General features: G+C 35.8%; 1 protein-coding gene across 11 annotated transcripts in view, besides 1 other annotated feature; it reads right to left on the bottom strand.

Annotated features, from left to right (window-relative positions):
• CADM2 (cell adhesion molecule 2) overlaps positions 1-23,447 on the bottom strand; it is a 1,115,441-nt gene extending 1,091,994 nt beyond the window's left edge. For 9 of the 11 annotated variants that reach the window (NM_001375961.1, NM_001375960.1, NM_001167675.2 and 6 more), the window contains exon 1: positions 22,768-23,447. Coding sequence is in view for 10 of the 11 variants with exons in the window: in NM_001375960.1 (NP_001362889.1) it covers positions 22,768-22,828 (61 nt within the window). In the remaining variant the exon portion in view is untranslated. The remainder of the gene's footprint in view (positions 1-22,767) is intronic. The other 2 variants (XM_017006062.3, NM_001381964.1) reach the window with 1 other exon arrangement.
• Positions 20,740-21,282: an enhancer, noted in NCBI's record as "H3K4me1 hESC enhancer chr3:85010305-85010847 (GRCh37/hg19 assembly coordinates)". NCBI's record gives its function as "activates a minimal SCP1, AML or CMV promoter by ChIP-STARR-seq in primed H9 embryonic stem cells {active_cell/tissue: H9 hESC(primed)}" and the evidence as "EXISTENCE:reporter gene assay evidence [ECO:0000049][PMID:30033119]".
• Positions 23,448-25,185: the final 1,738 nt, after the last annotated feature.

The raw sequence follows: 25,185 nt of genomic DNA, 5'->3' as shown, positions 1-25,185 counted from the left end.
GACTTATATCCAGATATTTAGTTTATGTTGATATAGACTATCTGCATAAATCATCATAAAAATTGTTTTACCTGTTTAAAATACTACTTTTAATTTATAGGCTTATATTTATTTTGAAATACTAAAATTTGGAGTCCATTTTATGTCTACATCTAGAAACACAAATGAATATTTCATTTACAAAAAACACTTGACTATATACATATTCTATCACCTTGAAAAGATGAACCGTAAAAAGAATTATTTTCTCACTGAGAAAGTGTCCTTCTAATGTGACATCAGAAGGTCAAACAAATCCACACTATTCAAAAGTCATGTGAGAGGGAAGATATCAAATCCTGGTATCTCAATTGTATGCATAGCTTGTCAGCTCAAAGAACCAGGCTGGCAATTTTAAATTTTGATTAGATTATTTAAAAGACACAGTTTAAAAGTTGTTTTCTGTGGACCTCACTTAAAATGACAATATAAGCAGGGTTTCTCTTGCTGTCTAAATTAATGCTTTTCACTAAAATGTAATTATACTTGAAACTAGAAAAGCAAGAGAATATGATCACCCCGTAGACTTTGGCAACAGTTCCCACTTCAGTGGCACAATTTTTGGCTATGATGTTGATATTTGATTTCATTTAGTTTCTCAAACCCATCTATACCAAAATAAGATGACTCTTTCCAGGAATATATTTAATACTTCCAACAAAGAGAAAGACTCTTTGCAGTATATTCTGATTTAAAGAAGAAAGAATGGGAAGGGAGGGAAGGAGGAAGAAAGGAAAGAAGGGAAGGACAGAGGCAGAGGAGGAAAGGAAAGAAAGATAGGGAAGGAAAAGTGGGCAAGTAGAAGCTGTCTACACTCAAATACAGAAGTGTTCTTCAAGTTGTCTTTATAGCTATAGGGGATCCAAAACTCAAGTAATGTAGCTTTAACATGAATTGCTGTTCAGGATTTTATGGCCACTTCTCTCTCCATACTCATGTATAGATTTATAAATAGTAACGTACAATTCAGATTCCTCCCTTTTCTGTCTTCTGTGCCCCTCCTTTCTCTGGCACCCTAGACCAAACAAACTTAGACTTTAAAATGGAAGACTATGGTATATCCTTTCTAAATGTTCTGTAATTATTAACAGGATTTTCTATTCTTTCTCATTAGATTACCTTTAAAAATCATCATTCTCAGTAAACTATCGCAAGAACAAAAAACCAAACACCACATATTCTCACTCATAGGTGCGAATTGAACAATGAGATCACATGGACACAGGAAGGGGAACATCACACTCTGGGGACTGTTGTGGGGTGGGGGGAGGGGGGAGGGATAGCTTTAGGAGATATACCTAATGCTAGATGATGAGTTAGTGGATGCAGCGCACCAGCATGGCACATGTATACATATGTAACTAACCTGCACAATGTGCACATGTACCCTAAAACTTAAAGTATAATAATAAAAAAAAATTCCTATATTACTAATCAAGTATATTTTACAAAATACCACTGAGTGTGGTGCATCCAAGATTCTGAGGATCTAATATAAATTCTGGATCTAACAATTTTGTTTCTGCTCACAGTATCTCCAAAATTTATTGAGTTTCCATAGATTTTAGATCTGATATGAGCCATTTTACCATGTTAACTTATTAACCCTCACCATATCCTCTGAACTGGATATCACAATTCTCATTTCTAAGGTGAAACACCTTAAGCTCAGAGAGGTAGCATCAGTTATTTAAAGTCACGCAGCAAAGAAAGAACACAGGTCATGCCTGTTAGATTTCAAAATCACACCATCTTAGCTCTCTCTGTACCAGTAACCTGAAGTTACATTCCTCCAATTGCAGATAACAGTACAACATAAAACGGTAGCTCTTCTTATTATTATCTTGCCAGGAATTTAAAAAATGAATAAGATAGAATTTGAAACTGGAAGACAATCTCACCACATTTTGGAAAGATTGGTTTCCAAAATGTGACTAAATAGTTTACTTGAGAACATGCGCATGTGGAAAAACTCTTCTATCTGTTAATATTTTGCTGTTCATAATAAATTACTCTGAAACCCATTAATAGGGTAAGTGAGGTGATCATCACCCTGAATCACATTTTTTAATTCTGTTCTTTCCATGGCAATTGTAAAATCCACAGGCTTAGCAAGGGGCAGGGTGAAAAAAAGAATGTTCTCTGCAGCTGCAGCTGACTTTCTGGCAGACTCGAAAGCAACTGTGTTGGCAGCTAAGCCAGGCATCTGGGGCTGTCGGTGAATTAGTCTGAGGACTGACCTTCTAGAACGCCTATAAACACTATGCATTAGCTTTGCTCCATAATGAGGGGAATTTAACTCTTTGTATGATTATGATCAAGGTTATTATGAAATCCACTCTAAATTAATCAATAAAACCTTTATTGAATGACATACTTACAAAGGAAATAATAGGTATTTGGCTTTCTTAACACAAATTCTATTTAATAAAAGTGAAATTTTGGATTAGTTACATGTGCAAACTGGTTTCATGACGTTTTCTATCTCGTGATTTGAAGTCCTTCAGTTCTCTTACTTTATCTTGAAGACAGCACACTTTTAATTATTCCAAGAAAGATGGAAAAATTAATCTATCCTTTTAGACATCAAAAAAAGCATTTCACCACGTTTAATTTTATAGCCTAGGAGTCCTGCCTGGAAATTATTTCTTAATAAAAATCTAAAGGACTCTTAGAGTAGTTGAAGAACACCTTTTTTTTTTAGTCTCTATGGATATAAAAAAAACAGTTTATAATACTTAGTGTAAAATCATCTTCATTTATTGAAGTTTATTCCTGGAATCATCTATTTCTCTCCCCCTTAAGGCCGACAGTTTTTAATAATTTAAGATTTTTCTTAGAAGAAGTGTTTTACAAAATTGAGTATTTCTTCAAAGATACCTCTTCTAGTTACTCAATAACTCTAGTTATCCTCTATTTATAGAGAATAATGTAAAAAGTCAGAAATGCAATGAAGTATGTACACAGGCACACACATTTTTTAAACAAATGGAATCATGTAACAATAAGATTTATTGATTTATATACTTAGATATCAGTAAGTATGCCAATATATAAATATACACATTAATAAATATACACGTTTCCTCCATTTTACAAGCAGCAAACCTATTTTTAAAGCACATGAAAGAATTGTGCATCAGTAGAAGTTTACAAACACCACTAGTGATAAATTTCATCATTATATAACACTTTTGTCAGATTAAAACTTTTTCATCTAATGACAAAGACATAATCATATTCTAACCTTTGCAAAGCATATCCATTTATTTAATTTTAGCTGCTGAATTGGAGTCAGTCTTCAAGTTGAAAAGGGACCTTGGAGATGATCCAAGCCTAACACCCTCTGAGTAACTGACCTCTAGAGAGATGAGCTGTTTCCCCGGGTGATGGGGGGAGCCAATGGCACAGCCACAATCAGAACTTTAATTCTCGATGCCCTATCTTTTGTACTTTCCATTTACACAATGCTTCCTCTGAAATAAGATTTAAATAGGGTTGAAATGAGATCATGTTTAAATCTAAAGTGCCACAGAAGTGATTTTTAAAGTTACATCCAATTTTGCTAAAACATATTTCTTATGTAAAATTTCCCCTATGGCCTATTATGATGTTTGGTTTTATTGTTTTCATATAATTCAGTTATAATTCCATGACTTAAAATTTCTGATAAAAAAGAACACACATGCTGAACTCCTAGCAATGTTAAGCAATAAAACAGGAAATACATTTAGACTCAGAAAAGTCTTCTTACGGCATTTCAGCTAGTAAATTCCTCCGCTCTATTTTCCCTTTTATTGTTTTAAATGAACACTGGTATTGTGCTTTAAGTCTTATGCCATAAACACATAAACACAATTACAAATGTTTTTCAAGTAATAAATAATATATTGTGAAATATGGAAAATGATGTGTCTGAGAAAGGGCTTAACTCAATCATTACTAATATTAAGTAGGTCCATTTTAAATACACGTGTTAATTTGGTTTCTGTTCACTGTAGGAAGCTGCTCAAAATGTAAAGAATATTACTTTAAAAATAACACAAGATAATTATATTTACTCATGCAATAAAAACTTATTGAACAACTGTGTGCCAGAAAATATTCTAGAAGTGGAAGATTAAAACAGTAAAAGGTAACTCTGCATTCACAGAGCTTATCAACTAGTAAAGAAAAGACAGAAAACATACACGTTAACAAGAAAGAAATACATAATTCCTGATAGTGACACAAATATTTTAAATAATGTCAAGGAAGTACTTTAGATTATTAGCACATTTATATTAATTTCTTAATGTTTAGATGAGCAAATACACCTTTATCATTTCTAAAAATTTGCCATCTCTAATTTACTCTATGTATTTTGTATGTTTATGTGAAAGGAGAAGACAAACTTTTTGCAAATGCCTTTATTCTCCTTCAAAAGTCTTTATTTTTAAACTTTTGCATAAGGAATACGGTTCCCCCAGAATGTCAGGTTTTCCCCAAATTTAAAGATCTTAGTTTAAAGCAAGCAATGTTCCCTTTGAAACACCTGCTGATTGACACCTTAGGAATTAAACGTAGACACTGCTTTTGTTAAGTGTTGTTTTCCGTTGACGTCAATATTGCATGAAAACAAATCAACGATGAAACCATTGCTCTCTGTTTTTAAGAACTATTCTGTTGTGGTATTCTTCCAGTTTTATATCTGAACATATGTAGCCAATAATAAAATACTTTTGAAAATCTGAAAATTTGTAAACTGCAAAGCTATAATAAGAGGAGTATCTGAGATTCACCTACAAAACAAAAGCATGTCCTAATTATTGCATCCCATCACCTCCACTCATATTAATGCCAACATAGACAGACTCAAGTATTAATTTTAAGAAAAAAATGTATCTTTTCACAAAGTCAACTAGAAACTTCTCAGTTTAAGTTGTATGTGAGAATATATTAAGTTTGTGGTAAGATAGATTCCCCAAAGATTATCGTTTTATTTCTGGTCATATGTGCTTATCATTTAGACCTACCTCCTAATTGTGTTAGGCTTCTTCATTATCAGTGCTCTTCCAAGAAATCAGGTGCTGGACATGCTGCACCAAATATCATCCTAAGTTCTTATCTAGTTATATGTAAATCTCTTTCACCATGTGCAATGATGTCAGTACCCACTGGGTCCATCAAACCTTGATTTGCTGATATCAGCTATAAATCTGTATCAATTCTTCATTGGAGATTCTGATTTCTTTCAGTATAATAAAGAAATATATACTTAAAGGCGCTAAAGATCTATATCCATCATTTTTATTATCCTATTGCTTTTATTCTCTTGACCAGCATAGTCTCTTTTCTGGCATTTTCACCTATTCTGCTATCTGACTCTGATTTCAAAAGAAATCCAGAAATCCCTTACTTACTGTTGTCTTTGCTCATGGTGAATTTGTTGTTATTTAGTCTATCTTTTACAGTAAAAAACACCTTTAGATCTGTGAGATATAAATCTATGATGATTGATAAAATGTGGCAAGATGAAAAAAGTCTTCTACAGAAGTTTCCAAGGGTGCATTTGAAAAGATAAGATGATATGCCAGAGTAATCTGTTTGCAGCCATTGATTACTAATAGTCAGTGGCTATGCTACATTGCCTAGGATTAATTTTCATCAAAGATAATTATTAAGAAAGCCTCTTCTTATTTGGATAAAAATTATCAAAGAAATAATGACCAAAGGATATTATAAAAATGTATAGAGCATTTCGGTATGAACTGTAGAGCCTCAATCCAAGGAGAAACATACTGGAAGAGATGTGTTTAGTGTCTAACTTTACTTCTAAGACAAGTAATCACCAGATTATCACCAAATATAAGTGGTTTTTATTGTATTTCTGATACTTAATAAAATAACCAATAGATTTCTATATTTCTATATTTTTGAAGGAAAAATACTTTTGAAATATATTGGTTTATGATGGATTTTTCACTAAATACTATGCTTTATTTAATTTATTTAAAGTATGACATATTTGAAAAATAGGTATTGGTCTGATAGTCTTATTTAACTTTCTATAATATAAATATAGTATCAAATATTTTAAATTTAAATACTTTCTACTTTCTTGTTGGTATCTCTACCAAAATGTCAACTTTCAAAAAGTGAATCAAACACGGAATGGTTTCTGAACATGTAGATATGACAAATTCACAAATACCTTTCATAATTTCTTTATCTGGTTCACACTTTATTCCCATAACACAGTAACTAAAAGCTAGAAAGTATTATAATACAAATAATTACTCCCCAAGACATACTTTTTATATAATCTTAAATATTTTATCTATTTACCATTAGGTTTCTTCATAATTTAAGGTTATGGTGGTATAAAATGGGAATTACCCAATTCTCCTTAGGAAAACTTTCATTCAATAGAAAATGAAGGCATCCTTGTGAATAAACAATCCCAGTTCTTTTAAGCAGAGCCCCCATTCTAAACTCTTATAATACTTTTGATTTTCATTTTGTTTGGGGAGGCCAGACAAGAGCACAGAGGTCTAGCAGTGCATTCACTTATGCTTATTAGTTTAGAAGATGTTCATCTCAGAGATTATCTCTCTACATTGTAAGATGACATCCTGTGGAAGCATTTTGAAATTCTGTATTGATTCTGTCTTCCACAGATAAAAGACTTGCAAAATAACAGAAAACACAAAGAGTTTTCTCTATAATGTTGAGTTTCCTATTAGGGTAAAACTTAAAGTTTTTATGATCTAAGTAGCAGCAAGGGGGATTTATTATGTGAGAAATAAAGGATATAAATTACCTTTCCCCACTCAAAATGATAGGTATGCAAAATTACAATTCTACAAGGAGGTATTTGGTTAAAACTCTTAGAGTAACTTCATTACTTTATATCCGGGTTTTCATTAGAAAATATATAATATATGCTTCAGAGATGGCATTACAAAATCCTTAAGAAACGTAACTTACAATTGCTTATACAGTACACCGGATGATTTTTGATGAAAAAAAATGCAATCCCTTATAAGTTTTCTCTTATTTGCCTTTCCAAAATGTAAAGGTATCTGAAAGAAGCTATAATTATTACCAATAAAATATACCACAGAGATACCAGTGTACTAAATATAGATGGAGAGTGAAATAACTTTGTTTGTTTGTTGTTTACTTATTTTGTTTTAAATAACTGTTTTATTTTTGACTATCAGGTAGCACCAAGATTATGGGAAGGCACAATTATCTTAATAACATCTTGAAACTTGAAAAGATTAACAGACAGCCTAATTGAGGTCACTTTTCTTGAAAGGGAGGTAAATTAGGCAAACAAAATTTCCTTTCAAGAGAAAGCTTTCTCTTTTCTTTTGTTTAAAAACTTAATGCAATTAGTAATATTTCAAATAATGGTTAGAAATAAATGCTTTTTCTTGAGATCACATATTTGCAGCATTTTACACTAAATCAACCCAAACTGTACAAAAATGTTATCATTTTAACTTCTGACTCTAATAATAATCAAAGATTTGGTAAATAAAAAGCCAACTATGAGGTTTTAAAAAACATAATAAAAAATTTGAAGATATCAGAATGTAATATATTATCTTAAATGTTACAGAAATGAGGTAAGTAATAAAGTGTGATATATCTTGCTTCTTAGGAAGGTTTTTATCTACTGTACAAAAATACTGCTGAAAACAATGATACAAAATCAATATAAACTTAGTTGGTTAGTAAAACATAATACCACTAGGAAACCAAAGCTATGCCTTACTTAATGCACTTCTTGTATGAGAGTATTTAATGAACAGAACAGGACCAAAGAAGTCACTAAGACACAAAGATGACAGAACAGCACCACCTAGTTCCCTTTATAAAAGTTTCCAAACATGTATGCATCTCTGACTTAGGAAAACTTAATATATTTCAAAATAAATCATTTAATATAAAACTATACTCTAGCCATTTATCACCTGCAAGACTGCATTTACTTGAATTAAAGTTTCTTTTAAAACCAAAAGAAAGTAAAATTAAAGTTAATGGGTAAGCACAGGTTTTTCTAACTGTGGATTATATTACTGTGTATAATCCAAATAAGTAAGTCCCTAAACTGAACTATTATAAATGCTAGACCACCATCATTATGATTTCCAAAGTATATATATATATATACATATAATTACAGAGTTCGCTTGTCTATTTTAACATGTATATCATCCATTCCAGAGATATCACTAGCCAATAAATAGTAATATTCAAAAATACCATACAATCTGTTAGAAATGTGGTATCATTCCCATCTTGGGATCATCAAAGTTAAATATTAAAGGAAGTAAAATATGATGCCAAGAATATTTGTAGCCTGTTCATATGATGTGTGTTTCTCTCCAATGTTTTAAATAATTGTATAAAAATTCATTTTATTTTTAAACTTCTTAAATGGTATCCCCATGTATTCTTCAGCTTTGTTGACCAGGTGGTTAATATTTCAAACATATTGAATAAAAGTTTAAGGAACAACATTTAACTGACACTTTCAAAAAGCCAAATTATGTTAGTATAGGTTTTAACCAAGCATGATGTATTGTAATATAAGCAAGGCGGGAGTTTTAATATATATGACACAGTGTAAGGAGCATTGTTTCTAGATAGGACACTTTAAAAATGTTTTCCCTGAGGCATCAGCGGCTCTTTGAATGAATGTTGCTGGTAACATCAGAATTGCTCAAGCAGAACTCTAGGTCTAAAAAAACTAAATATTGTTGCTTGTTACATAGTTCCTTCTCACAGACCTCTTCTCCCCTACATTCCCTCTGCTGACCTGGTCACCCACTGTTCTGGACCACTGAGTCTTTATGAAATTAAATGAATCATCCTCTCGAACAAATCAGTTAGAATAGAGCATTCTTGAATATTTCTTTTTCACCTGTCAGGTTCTTTCAAGTTGTATTAACAATAATAAAAATAAAGAAACTGGCATCATACTGAGAACGTTTTCAGGATAAACGACTGGAGGAAATGAGAGCTCTTTAACCTTAAATTTAAAAAAAAAATGTTAAAAGCCCAGTGAGGTTTACAGCATTGTTGTAAAGCAGTGATTTCACATCCTCATTGATATATCTGCATTCTGTTGCTGTTGAAAGATATTACTATAAAAATAAAATGTCTAATTTTGATTCAGAAAGGCATTACAGGCTGGGCACAGTGGCTCATGCCTGTAATCCCAGCACTTTGGGAGGCCGAGGTTGGCGGATCACCTGAGGCCAGGAGTTCGAGACCAGCATCATCAACATGAAGAAATGCTGTCTCTACTAAAAATAGAAAATTTAGCCGGCGTGGTGGCACGTGCCTGTAGTCTCAGCTACATGGGAGGCTAAGGCATGGAATTGCTTGAACCTGGGAGGCGGAAGTTGCAGTGAGGCAGGATCATGCCACTGCACTCTAGCCTGGGCGACAGAGCAAGACTCTGATTCAAAAAATAATAATAGTAATAAAAGAAAGAAAGAAAGATAGAAACTAAGAAAGGAATTATGTATTTTGATTTGTTTATTATGTGGCCAACACTAGACTGTAAACTCCATAAGGGCAGAGACTCTTTCCATCTTGTTCATTTATACATCCAGCATTTTACAACACTGCCTTCAAATAGGTATTTGTTGATAAATGAATCAACGAATGAATAAGTTATGCTTCAGAAAACCAAAGGCTATGAAGAATAAAATGACCACAGAAAATTTTTAATGTACATGAAATGCACAGAAATATGAAATCAAACTCAAAATTGAAAAACCTTATCCAGTCCACTTCCTAATAATAAAAATGACAAAGGAATCAATTTCCTAATTTATAGAATTGATCTATGGATGTGATTTTGTGAGAAAAGTATGTATGGCTCAAACTCAGGCCAATGGCTACAAAATTAATTTATAAACTTCATTGACAGAGAAAGAAAAGCTCTGAAATTTACAGAGGCACATATATCACAATAAAAAATCTGTTTACATATGTAAAATCCTTAAGCACTAAACAATGCATAGATGGATATAAAAAGTTAAATTTTAGGAAATGCTATTTTAAGAGCATGCAGTTAATGTTATACTATGTTATAAAACATCTTTAGGTGGAAAGGAAAAAGAAAAATGCCATCTCTGCAGTTTGCAATCATCCATAAGTTCCTTCTACAATACATCACCAAAGAATGAATGTGGTTCCAACCACTCAGTCTACAGCTGAAAAAACTAAGCTACAAGAGAAGTAACTTGCTCAAGGCCAGTGAGACCGTGACACGGCTTGCCTGAGAACTTAGGTCTCTTGCTTCCTACCATCATGTCTTACTGCTGTAAGGCACTTCCAAAATCAAAGTTTTAATTAGTCCATTGATAGCTCCTCCCTTTACAGCATAAAGAACCCTCACTACAAAATAAAAGACCTGCACCAGACCAATCTCACTACCACTTCCACACGAACCACAATTTGACCATGTCTGCTGCTTGTGTTCCACTTCATTCCTCTATTACCAATCCACCTCTATACTCCATCATGGTATGGCTAGGTGATGAGAATTTCCTGGGAGAAAATATCCCTAATGCCTGATCGAATTTACTTTTACCTTATAGTTAGTCCATCATTAAATGATAAGAAATATTAATCTCCCCAGTCTGTCCATACCCATCAAGCATATTTGTTTTATTAAAACATGTACTCTTATGCTGTTGTATCTTTCAGGGATAATATGTTCTGCTTTGTTGATAGTCTATACTTGCACAGTCAATAAAATTGGGTAAAGCGAGATAAAGTTTAAAATAAATTAGTGACTTCCACCAGACCTCTATAATACTATGCAGTTCTTATCTCTCTAGAATACTTTTATTATAGCATTGTAAATTTCATGGAAATGAAATGATATGGAGAAATGGAGTTACTAAATGGTAACACCATTAGTTTTACCTCATCCCTAGCATTTCTATGTTGATAAAAAAGCAAGCCAATGAACATGAAACTATCCTGTATAAATTTTACTTGATTTTTAAAAATATGTTTGTAAATGTTATTGAACATACAACTTCTTTTTCATGTTACTTATCATGAAATCTTTCCGTAAAATCAATACTTTTTGTGCAACAGTCTTTCTATAAAATCAGTACTTTTAGTGTAATATTTGTTTGCTAAATATTATGGATATTGTTTTTAATTTTGTGCCTCTGGACAAGAATGTTGGTCTGAAATGCTTTTGCATGTAAAGTAACAGGTAAAGGTGTTTCTTTCTTATAACAAACTGAAATTCAATTTTAAGTGAATCATTACGACTAAAAGTCTTGAAAATATGAAGGTATAGCTTTTCCTCACAGTTCCAATTTCAGATATTATGTGGCTACACACAAAAAAATTAAAATATGTCATATTTAACCATAGGTTACAGGAATATCCTCAATATAATGAATAAATTCAGTAACATATTAAAATGTTTCACTGAAACAGTGAAATAGTCAACAAAAATTGCCTCCAACAAAAATTGCAACAAAAACTACCTTCCCTTTAATTCACTAGTCTCTGAAAAGTTGATGAGCAGGGGCCAAACAGAAGCCATGTTAGAGAAGGTTTATTCTGCAACTGTAGCATCATACAGACATGGTTTAACATAAAGCAAGACTAGGTGCTAATAGAAGCTATGAGAGAATATAATTCTTAATACCAACTGTATAAAGCGGCAAGAATCCTTAATAAATTTTGCTAGTTTATCTTCATTTGACATTTATTTACAGAATATATATTTCTCTATGAGGATGACAGAGTGATTTCCGCACCTGGCATTCAGGTAAATCTTAAGCTAGTCTAGTTAATAATATCTTTTCAAATGCTAAGAGTCATGAAACAGTCAAAAATCCACAAGACATCAGGGAAATTGATTTTTAAAATGTGAAGAAAAACTTGACTTTTAAGAAAAGTCGCATTTCACTGGGACTTTTTAGAAAAAGTATTCTTAAAACACTTTATGTGAAAATATAGTCACTACAAATTGTAGAGTCTTTTCTCCCTTGGTTTCGAGTTTCCAGTAACTGTACTTATATTTTCTTTAAAAGGCAGATAATATTTCCATCCTACCTCTATCTTTCAAATGCAAAAAAAAAAAATCAAATTCAATCACAGCATATATGTGTCATCAACTGCATAAGTATAAATAACTAAACATTAAAAACACAAATAGACTAACATTTAGAATTTTTAAAGGGCCTTTTAAATAATACTGACAGAATCTCTTCCAGTTAACTGAGAAGAATGCACCCTGAATCTTCACTTCAGGGACTAATCAGAGAACCTCTACTCTCTAGCTTGGCAGTAAAAAAAAAAAAAAAAAAAAAAAGCAGGTCAGTCCACACATAATCTGGTGGATCAAGGTCAGCTTGTAATTCCTCTTTGTTTATACATTTATCCGGAAATGCCAGCTACTCAAAGTAGAACAAGAAGATAATGTGGCTTCACGTTTAACCAAAGTCATCATCAGGAATATTTTTGAAGCTAGAAATAAAATCTTTAGAAAGTAGATTAAAGATAAGGGGTTAAATACCCAAAGATATCGGGAAGATTCAAATAAATGTTTACAGTGCAAATTTGAATTGACTACCCTGACTGAAAGCAATTAATTCATATTTTTGTTAAGTACACCATTATTTAGTATTATTTTTGTTTCTTGGGGTGCATTTCTGTCTTCTTCCTGTGTATTACATATAAATGAAAAGTCACTGCAAATATTTATTCTATTTGGAGTACTGTATTGGCATTTTGGCAGTTATAATGTAAATACTTAAATATTATCTAGATCCAATTAAAGAGTTGTGTCAAGATTAAATCTTTTAGAAGAAAACTAATCAATCAGTGGAATGAAAACATTAAAAAAAAAGATAGACCAGACATTCGATTAGTCAAAATACTATAATAATAATATACGAAGTTTTATATAGATCACAGAATAGACAAAATCAAATGCTCAGTTCTCTCATGAAATAAGAACACATAAATGCTTAAAATAATCAATAGAGGGCAGATGGCATTCTTTTGTCTACTAAAACTAAAACTATAGCTTCAAAAATTATGCTATTGTGTAAAATAATCAAACAAAAATTGTCAAAACATATTTATTATATCAGCTTATAAAACGCTTTTTATTGCCATAAGCATAAATAAAAGAATAAAAGACACAAGTTGCAGTTACAAATTAAACCACCATTTTCTTATGACATAAGACACAGAGGAAGACATGTAAGTCAAAGGGTACAATTAAGACAAATGCACTCTCATACTCATGTAATATAAGAAAGTATCCCCCTTGTTAAGTGATAACACATACAAAACAAGCCAATTCTTATAGCAATCTCTCCACAATTGAAGTCTCTTTAAGAAAAAGATGTCTGTCTCTCTCTGTTGAGTTCAGCGTCTCTCTATACTTCCACCAGTATTCAAATTGCATCCAAATTAAAACCCGAAAATAAAATGTCTCAAATTTGGCAATGCACTGATATTTGGCAGTCCATAAAGATTGCAGGCAATTAATACTGCTTAAATATCTACAGCCTCACATAAAAACCAGCAAAACTTCAAGATCCCACCATAGCAAGATGTGTTAATGGGCTAGTTAAGGAATAGAGTATTGACTTAGGAACAATTTCTGATTCTTCTTTTTGTTTGGGAAAGTGAAAGGAACAATCCCTATTCAGGGTAGGGGATACACATTTTCACTCATTATTTTATTTCAATCCTAGAGCAGTATCTGTTATTTAGAAATAACAGATACTGTATTATGTATCACAATGGTGAATTTAATTCTGCCTTGGCAGGATAACTAGTAAGTGCAGAATGTGAGTAACTGCTTGCTATATTGGAGTCATAGATATATAATTGCCTTCAGAAACATCCTTCTCTGAATACCACCTACACATTAATACATGACAGTGAACTTACAGCCAGACCCCTGTTCTATCCCACATGATCCCTGAAAAGGCTTTGAAATGAGGACACGTGCATAATTAAGGCACATTGAATATCACAGAACATGTAACAAACTAGAGTATTATGAATCCTTAGGGGAACCTCGTAGAACTAATACATTTTCTAAAGAAAGCTGCACATGAGTAAAGGGAGACTAAAATGCTAATTAGATCCTCTCAGTGGAAGCTATAGAAAAGTTGATTCTTGAATCCTGAAGTTGGACACAGAATGGAACATTTGTATACAGAAGGGCTGGAGAGGGAAAAAAAGAACTTGACATAAAAGCCCTTGAATAGATGATTTACACAATTCATGAGAAAATAAATGAAGCAAAATAAAAATATAACAGTGGGAGAATTCCAAACCTCCTGAAAGGGTTAAGTATGAGAACTGATTTCGTATTAGAAAGGGATTATGTAACAACAGAGGGAAATACTCAGCCTAGCATATGCTAATTTAGGCAGCTTTGCCAGGCCTTTCTCTGTGTGTTTGGCTGGCTGACTCACATTCCTTTCCCCTTCTTTTTGCCATTTTTATTAAGAGATTACGGAATGGAGCTTTCAAAAAAATGCAATAGTAACAATAACAAAAACAAGTCAATACACATTGCACATGTTTTATCCTTGCTAAAACGCTGGGGTGTGCTCCTTGGGGGTTGAAAGGAAAAACACCCAATCTGTACATATTCTGTACATATCCTTTAGCAAAACACTTCTTTATTCTTCATTCCCCATTAATTTATTTTAATGGATCTTTCAAGTCAGTAGCATGGGCAGGGAATGGGAGGGATATTATATTCCTGGAGAGTATAAAGGAAGCCGAGTTACTATTCGGACTTCAGCACATAAAATAGAGAGCAGTAAAGAAATGGCAATTAAATAAAAAGCTTACTATATATTTTTCTTTGCTTTTACATATAAATATTCTAATTCATAATACATTATTTCTCATTTAAACTTAAGCCTACAACTCCAGATTGAAAAACAAGAGATGTAAAAGGTATCAGAATGAACGGAAGTTATGAATGTCATGGACACTTTCCCCCATGGGGGATACAGGAGAAGTTAATATAAAATATGAATTTATTAAGAAAATTAGGACTTTTTTTACACACTATAAATTTTAGGCCTTGATGTTTAAATAAGCATTATGGAAGGCACCTGCATTTTAGAATACAAACAATTTTAGCCTAAAGGTAAAAATATTTCCTTACAATAATAAATTAATTGGCTTTATAAATTATAGCAAATCAATATAACAGCTATACACTTAGCAGTCGGCAGCATATCTTTGTCAGGAAAGGTATGTTCTCATTCTGTTCTCAAGGACAACTTTAGATAAGCAATGTATCCTTACTGTAAATTAACCATCATAAAATATATAAAATTTTTAGAAACTCAATTTGACTTTTTAAAGGACTTTGTTTTCTTATAATGTGAAATTATTTGCACTATTTGATCACATTTAGCTTTGAGATTTTTTTTTCTGAAAGCAAAAGTATGCTTATTTTTATTTTCTAAGCAATGCCTAATGACATCAGTATTTAACCCCTGGAAAAACTCCTTAACTATGACTAGACAGGGACTTCCTCTTCAACAATGAAATGGCTGAAAGATAATTTAAATATTCAAGTGAAAATGATTTGCTGACTCAGAAAGAGTTGTTTCCAAAATTGAACAATGACTGTGTTAATATTTACTTCAAAGACCTCTAAAATATAATGTGAATAGTTAATGGCCCCCTCTCTCTATGGCAGATCTTACTAACTTAGCTCTGTATCTATTCAAGTAGTAACAAGTTCTTATCACTCAGTTTCATAAGCACAAAGATAGATGCAGAATACTCAACCCTATTGTTATTTCATAAATTGTAAGACTTGTGTGTGTGTTTTTTTGTGGAAGTCTTGTTAATCGTTGTTGCAGCCTGAGAAAATTTACTTTAAAAAAAAATAAAATTCTTAACCTTAATTGAAAGAGTAAAAGAACACAATGAGTAAAAACAAAACAAACTCTTAACTTTTCCATCATTCTATTATACATCCCTGAAAGCCCTAAACTCTAATTACAAAATTAATAAAGATGTTCTTCAGTCTTAAAAATAATGACATACTTAAATGTGTATATATGTGCATATATATAAATAAGTGACTGTGGAATATTTCCATACTCAATAATTACATCTCTGATTTTGACATTAATATTTAACTGATCCCTACTTAAGCAGAATATTTACTTCACTAATTTTTAAATAGGCTGCATGCTTCTAAGATGAAAACGGTTTCGTATATGCTTAAGGAAATCCACTGAACACATTAACAGGACCAACTGGGCTCACTACTTAGTAAAAATCAGTATGTATAACATGTTCAGTTTTTTGTTCTGTGGCAAATGGAATCAAAATATACAAAGCTACGTTAGTTCCTTTTATCTGATAGGGTTTAATGCTATAACAGTGGGTTTATAACTCTTACATTTTTAGAGAACATATCAGATGACTTTGCCTATGTGATAAATAATATTGTGCAGATAGGAAACATTCTCTATTGATGTGACATAACACAAATTATACTTGACAACACTAAATAAACTGAAGAGACACTGAACAGTTAACTCCTATTTTGTAAAGAAACTGCTATATTTTCATAGTACAGGAAATGCTCTAATAAGAATGAGATTAAAGGACTAACTCCTTACTCACTGAAGGAAGAACTGGATAACAGAATGCTTCCCAGCCCAACAGTTATTAAGTCCAACACACGTAAAAAATAGCATGGAAATCCTATTTTAATTTTGCTATTCATCTTCATTAAACTGACCTATGTTCCCGATAGTTTGGAAGAAAATTAAATGTTCACCATTCATTGGATGAAAATGTTGATAGTTTTAGTAGGATTTTATTCATCTCTAAACAAAATATATGTTCTCTCTTTTGCTTTGTCATAACCTCATGTGATTACAAATACTCTGGATCATTTCTGGTTATAAAAAGCTAAAGGATGTTTTATGTCCACTACAAGCTATGAAAAAGACTTCCCATTTCACTCTCATGCCACATGACTGCTTTCCTGTGAGTTTGTGGCCTCTGCAGAGCACATTAGGCCTGAGATGCCATTTGCATCATCACACAGCAGGGGGCTTCAGCTGCCACAGCTCTAGGTTAATCCTCACCCACCTCTTTACACAAGGAATTTGCAGAAGATGCCTTTCTTGATACAACAGAATTGCACTCCAAAAATGCTTGACATTTTCAAATAAAATGTTGGCAATGAACGTGTCCTTTTAAATATTTTAGGTTAAATCAGTAAATTTAAATTGTGTCCTTCATTTTTTATGAAATTAGTTTATGATCTAATCTAATGTAAAGTATCTGGGGTTTTTAATCAAGGAAAAGAAAAAAATGGTAGGAAAAATGTTAAAAATGACTGATCAGATTGAATTCACTTAAAGATGTATATTAAGAACTATTTATGTGATACTTTAGGATAACTTTCATAAACCAATATAGCTTACAAAATGTCAAAATTAACTCTTATGTGACTTGACAAAGTATGAGTGCTTTCATATTATGAAAAGAAGAGATCATTTAATCCCATCACAAGTAATTAGGACATATATATTATTCAATCCAACATGACTGTTTATGCATCTACTAAAATGAGGATAAGAAAATTGCATAGCTATGTGAGGCTCAGAGCTTGCCCTCAGGAAGCTTAAGTATAATAATTGTTGGGCACTAGAACTATTTTAAGAGAGTAAATCAGACCAATATCTGCCAATTCAACAAAGGGCTTTTGACTTCAGTTTTGAGTCGGCCTCCTTGGTTTGTGATTTTCCTTCTCTCTACTTCCTCAATCTATTCAGCTAGCTGCTACAGAATAGGTGACTTAGCCAATGGGTTTAATACAGTCTAATAAAATGAGGATTATTTCTCAATAAATATCATAGAGCACTTGTCAGCAAGATCAAATAAAACATCCATATGACATTAGGTCTATATTTGATTATTAATGTACCCCCAAATCCTTCATAGTAAATAAGGCTTACTTGTCTCAATCATTGATATACCACAGACTACTTAAGGAGAAAATTCATGTCATTTGGTGTTGATTCCAGGCCACTTTCAAATGCATGCTTAGGATGTCTTCCAACATTTTTGCACTTCCATTTTGCTCTTTAAGTGATTTAAGTATTTTTTTCTTTAAGAAAAATGACATTCTACCACTATTTAATTGTGTGACAAATAGTTTTCAAATGTCTTATCTTCTAATGAAGGACACAAGAACAGATCATCTCAGTTGATACTTAGCTTTGTCATGTTATGTTCCCAGAGTTCTAATAGTTATAGAAATGGGAAAAAGACAATGAAGTAAGCTTCCACATCTTGATATAAAACTAGTCTAGAAACTCCTTATATTTGCAAAGATTTTCTTAATTACCAATTGTCTGATGTTTGACTATTTAAGCCACAGTTATTGCATTTAAGTATATAGGCTCCACTTTCCAAAGTTTATGTTAATCAAAAAAGGGAGTGAGAAAACTGTATTTCAAGAACTGCATTTGGCATAAGAAATGAGCTTGCCAAGACTAAAGTTAACACATGTAAAGGTAAAATAGTTGGAAAGATATGCTTTTAGGAAGCGTAAGTATTTCATTAAGTGTATATAAGATGTATTATAATGTGCTTTCTAAAAATGTAAGGTGAGGTTCATGACAGATACTGAGGCAAGTATTATGTACGTCCAATGAGATTTAATTTGAATGTATATTCAAATTAAATTGTGCTTGTGTTATATTTTTACTAAATGTAACAAATAATTTACCAGAATATACCACGGCAAAAAACAAACAAACAAACAAACAAAAAAACCTAAAGCCCCAGTATCTGTCTTGGAGGTGCTTTTTTATACGACTAATTCCAAAAAGTAAACACAGTTCTCAACAAAATGAGGTCTTGTATGCATGTATGCATGATTATTTCTTGTTATATTTTGCCCTTGTTTCTTTTTTGCCCTTTCCAGAATTGTTTCCTGTGCTACCCAGGGCATTCTCTCCATCTTTGCAGTGCCCCCTCAGGCATGGAAAGGCATAAGGTTTCAGCAAGGGTTAGCAATTGAACTGGATCTACTGTATAGCCAAGAGAGGACTTAGTTACAGGTGGCAAGCTTTCCTTGCAAAGAAATTCATTTCTGTAATGTGTCCCTTGCGCTTACTCCAGATTTTCCTCTTTCTATGATGAGGGAAAATAAGAAAAGACACATTGTAACTGAACACCAAATGAAATTTTGCTATTTAAGTAGCCTACATTCCAAGTTATACTTTGGCCAAACAAATGTTTAGCCAAAAGCATATGTTTATTCCCTATCTATTATTCATTTCCTAAAGACACGATGAGGATGAGGACAAACTGGCAGATGTTATAGAATTAAGTAAGCCTTTTAAAAAAAACTCATTTTATCATTGACTAGATTCTCACCACTGGCTTATCACTCCACATATTAACAAGCCAGAAAATTGATTTTGCTTCCCAGAAAAAAGGTAAAAAATATAGGTGATAATATAAAATACAGTCAGTTAAAACACAGAAACATGGAGAAGATATGTTCAAATGAGTCTTCTTGTCTTTAATAATGATACTGAAAGAAAGAGAATAGTAATACATGGGATAAATAAACTGATTAGTATTACTTAAGTGAATATCACTATAGTGCTGATAAAGCTAAAAAAAAGAAGCTAATGACTGACTATAGTATTTGCCTAGTCATAACTACTAGCAGGCAGGGCAGACTCCCTCTAGCCAAAATCAGTCGCTCACTAGTTCCCCCGCCACCCTTTTCTCCCCGCACATAGAAAGACCCGCTAAGTATTTAATCTATGTCCAGAAAATAAAGCCTTCATTTTACAACCTAACCAAGTCCTAATAAAACAGTAGGGTAGGGGAAGAAACATAAATCTGAACCCCGAAACAATGTTCTCAGCCAAGCCTAAGACAAGGAAGGCATGAGCAATTTGAGCAAAAACTGACAATATCAACAAACTATGATGTGTCTGTGGAGCAGTGTTTGATGAATAAATGTGAGGCAGCCATAAACATGAGAAGACAATCCAGTGGTGCTTTGTGCCCCCTCCTCTTTCTTTCTTTTTTTTTTTTTTAAATCCTCGTATCTCTTTTAGTGTATTCATATGGCCTGATCTAAGATGCTCCTAAGTCCACAGACATGGATGGACTTGTGCTCTTTCCCTGGTTGCTGTATAGAACCTTTATTTATTTATTTATTTATTTATTGGACCTAATGCTGGTGTTGCTGCTGGTTGCAGTGGTGCATTTTCTCGGCTATACTCACACCCCTTCCCCGCACCCCCCGCTCCCCAGTCTGCTGTGAAAAGCAGCACTGTCTTAATCATTGGTTTACATACTCAATAAAAGAGACTCATGCCTGAATGCTGCTGATGGAATCTCTCCGGGTAGAGAAAGAGTAAATCCTCCTCCAGGCTGAGAGAGAGGCACCAGCAAACAGTTATTTCGCACTGCACTGAATAGACAATTCACAGGGAAATGTTGAAGGAAGAGAGGAGGCGACCCCAAGTGCAGTCCATGGCCCACATGCTCTATAATAAATAATTTCGCAGCAGCCCAGCAGTGTGTGCATTGACCGGCCGGGGCCAGCACACACAGATTGGCAGGGAAAATACATCTAGCGGTGTCGAATTTTCATTGCAATCACCAAATTAACTGATTCCCCCACATCACACTCCCCCAACACGGCACACGCCGGCGCGCGCGCGCGCACACACACACACATACACACACACACAGCAGAGCTGAGAAATGCAAGTTACTGAGAGGTGAAGTAGGGTCTCTGTGAGATTGTCTCAGCGCGGATTAAAAACCTAAGTAACGTGTCAGACACCCGGGTTACTTGTGTGAGGATGGGGGTGTGAAAGGTGAGAAATGGGACTCGGCGGTGTACGCAGGGAGAATGTGCTGTCTGCCTTCACGGAGATTCTGGCACACATGACATATCTGAAATTTACACCCAACGTAAAATACACAAAAGTACCACCAAAATTTTCTACACAAGATCTCTACAAGGTCAGTTAGTTAATTCAGGAAAATTCTGCCCACCGCCTCTTTTTTCACATTCATAAATATGCATAAATAAAATTCGGTCCCCAGTCTATATCCCGGAGGAGGGCAGGAGAGAGGATGCATTCCAAGAACTTGCTGAAAGATGGTTCATTGACCTCATTTAAATCCTCCAAAGGCCGACTGGGTTTTGCACGCCAGTGAGTCTACGTGTGTCTTACTTTCAGATCCCTTTTACCCAGGGAAAAATTAATTTGATCAACTTACCTTTCCTGCAAATACCCAAATAATGACAGAAGGATTAGAGGCAGGCAAAGAAAAAAAATCTAGTCACCTAGCTTAAAAAATATTCTATCAATCATCATTTCACATCCATCCTTGCTATATCTCACACTCAAGCCACATCCCTATACTATTCTCTTCAAAGCAACAATCTTCCGCCTTACAGCCCCTGCCCACCTAGCCCTAGCACGCCGCCCCTGCCTCCTCCACCACCCAAAGTGTCCTCATGCACTCCTGTACTATGCATTGCCATTTATTTCATAATCAGCATCGTCCTCCCATTCCACACAGCCCCCTCACTCCCTCCTCCAAAAAAGAGGGTCTGGAGAAAAGTGAACCCAGATTCCTTAGCCATCCGGCATCCAAACCCAGTGATTTGCATAATAACAGCGTTTTGTGCGGTTTCCCTCCACTGCTGCGGTCGCAGAGGTTCTTACATTTCACGTGAAAGGATAATATTAATTACGGAAAGAAGCGGCAGAGAGAGGATGGAGAGGTAGGAAATCTAAGTGAAAATATCTTAGCAGTAAAGTAACTGCTAGGGAGCATATATTTCTTTGGTTAAAAAAAAAAAGAAACGACACAGACTGAATAATAAAAAGTCAATGTGTTGATAAAGTGGGTTTGGGTCTTTTAATTTTTTTGCCTTTTCTCCCCTTTCTTAAATTCTTGGTTTATTTATTCATTCATTCACTCATTTTTTCTTTTTTCTTATTCTTTTTCCTTTCTTTTTCTTTTCTTTTCTTTTTTTTTAAATCCCAGACAGAGTCCCCTCTCTCTTCCTAGGTAAATGACACGTCTCAGAACACATTTCCCCCCCGGGGATGTTATTGCAATGCACACGGTGCTGTCGCTGCTGCTGTTCTCGCCCGTCTTGGTAGCTCGCTCCCAGGCTCTCACACACTTTTTAAAGACACACGGATATGATGATGGTGGGAAGAGGGGGAAAAGAAAAGGCGACCTGAAAAGGGGGAGGTTAAAGAGATGACAAGAGATGGAGAGGGTCGCTCAAGAGCGTGATGTGGGAGGTGGCTGGTGGGGGTTGTCGGGAGGGTGGAATGTTCAGAGAGGCACAAGTTGCCAGCCAAAAGGCGTGGGAGGGGGATGCTGGCGGGAATGGAGTGAGATGAAGGAAGCTCAGGTGAATGAGAAGGCAAAAGGTGCCGCGTAAGGGGCTGACTGCTGGGAAGGCAGGGCTGAGCCAGTGTTAGAAATTCGAGGGGCTGGTGCAAACTGCCACTGCCCCCTGCCGCACCAGAGAGTAGGGGGAGGGGGTGGAAATCGCTGGGGACAGGGAGACTGGGAGGGGAGAGTGGAAATATGGGGTGGAATGGGGAAGATGGGGAATGGGCGAGAAGTTGATGTTCCCTGCGCCGGGGCGGGGATTACCTTGTAGCAGGAGCCCGCAGACACTGTAGAAGCGGAGAACGGCGCTGCGTTTCCAAATCATGGTCCCTTCTCTAAAGGGCTGGGGAAGGAACGAGGGGGCAAGTAGATGCTGGTGAGCGGGGCACGAGAGTGCAGGGCTCCGCTGGTGTCCTCCTCCCGGCGCCCGCCGGACCCACCGTCCCCACCGCTGCGGTGTTCGAACCCGCGGACTCGGATCGGCGGCAGCAGAAGCGGCAGCGGCAAAGCACCCGCAGAATGGGGTATCGCGAAATAGTTTCTTCTCCTCCTCCTCCTGCTGGTGGTGCAGCCGCGACAGCCCGTCTTCCAGGCAGGGGTTTGGAGCTTGCCTTCCTCTCGGCGCGCACAGCAAGTCCCAGAGCCCGCCGGGGCTGCCCGAGCAGGTGGTGCAGGGATGCCGGGGTGTTGGAGAAGGTGCGGGCGAGGGCTGCAAGGAGTGGGTAGGTCACGGAGGGGAAGGGCTGGGGGAGAGGAGGAGCAAGCAAGCAGCACTGCCGCTCGCGCCCGGGGTGTCTCGGGGTCCTGGGAGGGGAGGTAGAAGCAGTGGAAGCAGCGCTAGTGGCGGTAGCAGCGGCAGCGGCGGCGGCAGTGGCGGCTCCCGGATGCTCCGGCTGCAGCGGCGGCTGTGGCGGCAGCGGCAGCGGCGACGGCGGCAGCTCTACGAAGCACCAGACACAAGGGCAAGCTCAGAGCGGCGGAGGCCCCGCCCCCACCCCGGCCAGGGACAGACACCGCCCCCCGGCCAATGGAAACTCCCCCGCCCACCAGGTCTGGCCAATGAGAGAAGGGGATGGGTGGAGACAAGCGCCGGGAAAAACAAACAGGCTTCTCAAGGACCCTTCGGGCAGGAAGAACTGAAGCCCCCATTCAGCACCCCTGGCGGATCTTACCTCTTTAGAGATGTCTCGCCCGAACTTGCAGGCGAGACAACTGCCTTCATTAATCAGCGCTTTGCACTCAGGAAGGGTTCAGCCAATCGCCACCGCGAGGGGGCGGGGTTAGCCGTGTCCCCAGCATGTTCTGGAATTCGTGGTGCCTGGGCCAGGTCCTGGGTGCGAGGTTCTTCTGCGCATTTGGACTCCTAGAGCAGATGGTGGCTGCACCTGCCCACTCACCAGCTGCAGTAGCAATCTCTGACGATTCCAGCAGCAAAAGGGAAAGATTGCAGAGGGCGTGGGAGAGGCTAAGTATAGGGAGTGGAACACCTACCTGCCTACAAGAACTTGTGCAAAAAAGGAAAAACAAGTGGAGGAAATAATTTTGTTGTTGTTGTTGTTCAGAGGTTTTACTTAGTCTAGGTATAAATCTCAGTAGAGCTTGGTGAGTAGCAGTGCTGGCACTGGCATCAGGCAGCCTTTGGTTCAAATAGCATAGCTGTCGCTTCATGTTTTATAATATTTGATGATTTACTTGAACGTTTAAGTCTAAAGCCTCCTCAACTGCAAAACCAGGATAATAGTACTTAAAGAGTTGTAAGGATTAAGTGAGAAAGCAATCATGTTAGCGTAAGTCCATGCAATGCGTACATACTTTAAAAATGGTGACTCTAGCTGTTTATTGGGATTTTTCTAATTCTGGATAGCAGGAAATCTTAGGCAAGCCTCTTTAAAATGTTTTAACAATAGCCTTACGAGGGGAGAGAGGCAGAAGTGCACTTTTTTAATGGACCTAACCAAAAGGAGTCACAGAAACTCAGGAAGCTGGAAAGAGCCACCTCTATAAATCAACACCCTGAAATGTGTCCTTTAGAAGAGGAGACATAAATGAGCAAGACATAAATGAATCAGAAGTTGTGTTTCTAAATGAGCTTAATTCCCAGGTTTTCCCTATGACCAGTTTTTAATTGGACCAAATTGGCAGATGATGGACTGGTTCAGTAGTGTTAAATCAGTCACACCATAAATAAAGTCGGCTTTGTTTGAGAGACTACACAATAGAAACCTGCAAGCAAGAAGACAGAGGGAAAGATGAGAGGCAAGATCAATATTGATGCCCTTCACTCTTTCCCATTTGTTGCTTACTTTGCCACAACCTTTTGCAAATTCAACCCTTGCCTTTTAACTAATGACCCATTCATTTCTCTGCCCACCTTTCTCCCCAGGTTCTCAAAATTAAGGAACAAAATGTCCATAATAAAACTGCAAGCACATTCTTGAAGAAAGATGTGTGAATACCTGTGTTATTGTAGGAGATAGTTGCCTACTGTGAGTTTTAGCTGTTAGGAAAGTCAGTCAGTGAGTCCACAGATACTGCTATCATTTAACCTATTGTGAGGATCAAAAGGTGAAATTCTAATCATTATTGACTCACGCTTAGGTTTTGTGTCAGGGAGAATATAACAAATGGAAATGCCAAAGAAGTTAGGATTTGTTTATTGAAATGGTAGTCGGAGTTTCTGGG

The sequence above is a fragment of the Homo sapiens genome, chromosome 3, assembly GCF_000001405.40.
Source record: "Homo sapiens chromosome 3, GRCh38.p14 Primary Assembly".
In the NCBI taxonomy this organism is placed as follows: Eukaryota; Metazoa; Chordata; class Mammalia; order Primates; family Hominidae; genus Homo; species Homo sapiens.
Note: the sequence above shows the minus strand (reverse complement) of the source record. Positions and strands in the feature narration are given on the sequence as shown.